Genomic DNA, 2,796 nt, shown 5'->3' with positions numbered 1-2,796 from the left:
AAATTTGTGAGCATAGAATTGATCATTATTTCTTTATTATCTATTTAGTATATCTATCATATTTATTTTAAAAATATATAATGGTTGCCCTAGTATTTGCAATATACATTGTGATTAATCCAAGTTCACTTTTAAATAACATGATACCACTTCACAGGTAGTGCAAGTGCCTTATTATGGATTATACCAAATTCCTCCCTCCCAGCTCGTAAGACCTTGTCATTTATTTCACTTATCCATAAGCTATAATGGTGATTATTATTTTTCAATGAACTCTTATCATTTAGATTAATTAAGCATCAGAAAAATAAAAGGCTTTATTTTATCTTTATTTCTTTTTAAAGCTTATTTTTTTTTACAAATGTAGTTTTAAGTTTCTGATGTATATTATTTTCTTTCTCTTTGTAGAACTTCTTTTAATGTTTCTTGTGAAGTAGTTCTACCAGTGACAAATTTGATCGATTTTTCTTTGAGATAGTTTTTATGTCTCTTCTAATTTTGTAAGATAATTTTATTGGACACAGAATTCTAGGTTTGTGGTTTTATTATTTTAATTATTTAAATATTTTACTCTGCTCTCTTCATTCTTATATGTTTTCTGAAGAAAAGCCTGATGTAATTCTTATTCTTACTTCTCTATAGGAAATGTATATTTTTTTAAGATTTTTCTCTTTATCTTTGATTTCTGCATTTTATTATGATGTGCATAGCTGTAGATTTTTTGGCATTTATTCTCCTTGGTGTTCTCTAAGCCTCATGGTTCTTTGGTTTGTCATCTGTCATTGTTTCTAACTCTCTTTCTTCTACTGTTGATATTGTCATAATACATATTATATGTCTTTGTAATTTTCCCACAGTCTTGGATGTTATGTTCCTGTGGATAATTTTTCTTTGAACTTCACTTTGGCAGTTTCTATTAACATATCTTAAAGCTTACTGATGATTTCCTCTATTGTCTACTGATGAGGCATTCATCATTTCTGTTAGAGCATTCTTGATTTCTAACATTTATTTTGATTCATTTCTACATTTTCAACTCTTGCTTACATTACTTATCTGCTCTTGCATGTTGTCCACTTTATTCTTTAGAACTCTTAGCACATTAATCATAGTAGTTATTTAAAATTCCTGGTCTGATAATTCCAAACTCTCTCATAGTCACGTCTGGTTTTGATGCTTGGATTGTCTCTTTAGACTGTGATTTCAGCTAAAGGATACCAGAAATATTTTATTGCCAAATACACTTCCTTGCCATATTTTGAGATAGCTATTCAGAGGGTAGACAGACAACAACAGCCCTGAAAAGCAGCCTTTTGTGGAGGATATTTACATTTGTAGAGAAAAGTCTACATCAGTGACTTAAACAACAAGACTTTCTCTGAGATCTCGCCTTTGTTCAGATCTCAGATAAATTAATTCAACCACAGGCTACCTTCTTTTCTAAGGGCTGCTACCTGTAAGACTTTATCTGCATAACAAGACCACCTTTGCTAGCCATGCCTTTTCTCTTCTCTCCCTCCCATAACCTGCCTTGCTGAGCACCATGCCCTTATTTTTAACCTCAAGATAGTATAAAAGTGTCAACCATGTAGCCCCCCTCTTTTGAGTTTTTGTGTTTTAACTCCTACACACACGTGTATGTTAATACATTTTGCATGCCTCTTTTTCTATTAATCTGCCCTTTGTGAGTTGATTTTCAGTAAATCTTCAGAGGGCAAAGTGGAAATTTTCTTCTGGCCCTGATACTGCCTTTTAACATGCCTTGTAATGTTATTGTAGTTATTAAGAAATTGTTGTAGGTAAATAGGGGAAAAGGAGTCCTTGGGAAGTTTTCATTTTTTTAAAGCATCTCTGGAAAAGTTTTTTGTAAAGCCCTGGCTCTTAGAGCCAGGCGGGCAACCTTTGATATGCAAATGCCAGCCATTAGAAACTGGGTCCACCCAAACATGGTGATTCCCACCTTCTTCTTCTTGTCCTTGCCCCACATGTGCCTGGCGACATGGCAGCCCCCACAAAACCCCAGTGTGTAGAACTTCATGGCGCCGTGCATTTGCATATTATAAGGCTAGGGTTGGAAGGCCAGTTTTTTCGCGGGCTACATGAATGACATGCCTGGTCAAACCAATCTCCTGAGCCCTATGCAAATCAAACACCACCTCCTCCAGCCTCTACATATACCTGGCTCATATCCATGGCAGGTGGGGTTCCCGCTCTGTGCTTTGGAGACCCCCTGCCTCTGTCTCTGTACAGGGGAGCTTCTTCCTTTGTTCTTCCCACTTCTATCTTGCCTACTAAACTCTGGGCTCCTTAAAACCGCTCCACGTATGTCCGTGTCGTTTTGTCTAAGCTGGCATGAGGACCAAGAACCTTGGTGTTCCTCCACTCATCGGAGCCGTATCAGTAAGTTTTTGTTGAAAGCCAGATGCCAGGTAAAAGGAACTCAGGTAAACAGGCCTTTAATTTGATATTTTATATTTATCTGGCTAGGGATTAGGTAGCTGTGGTGTCAAAGGCTAAAAAGATACCTAGTGTTTTTACGAGTATTTTGTGAGAATTCTGTGAGATTAGAGAGAAAAAGTTTGCTCCTGTGGCATCAATTATCTGATGGATCAAAGGAGAGTTGTTGATTTTCAATTTGTTCAGCTTTTCTCTTACTGTGCGGACTGGAGTGGTAACTTACAAGCTCTTTATGTCTAACTGAAAGTTAAAAAAAAATACTATTTTGGTCGTTTTAGTGAGCAAGAACTATTCATTAATTTATGGAGATGAAAGTAGCACAATACATTTTGGAAAGCA

At 36.0% G+C, this 2,796-nt stretch overlaps 1 annotated feature.

Moving 5' to 3' along the window:
- Window positions 1,503-2,187: an enhancer, noted in NCBI's record as "OCT4-NANOG hESC enhancer chr4:137202470-137203154 (GRCh37/hg19 assembly coordinates)". NCBI's record gives its function as "activates a minimal SCP1, AML or CMV promoter by ChIP-STARR-seq in primed H9 embryonic stem cells {active_cell/tissue: H9 hESC(primed)}" and the evidence as "EXISTENCE:reporter gene assay evidence [ECO:0000049][PMID:30033119]".

Source organism: Homo sapiens, chromosome 4 (assembly GCF_000001405.40).
Source record: "Homo sapiens chromosome 4, GRCh38.p14 Primary Assembly".
Taxonomy (NCBI): domain Eukaryota; kingdom Metazoa; phylum Chordata; class Mammalia; order Primates; family Hominidae; genus Homo; species Homo sapiens.
The sequence above is the reverse complement of the archived record's forward strand: the minus strand, read 5'-3'. Positions and strand labels throughout refer to the sequence as shown.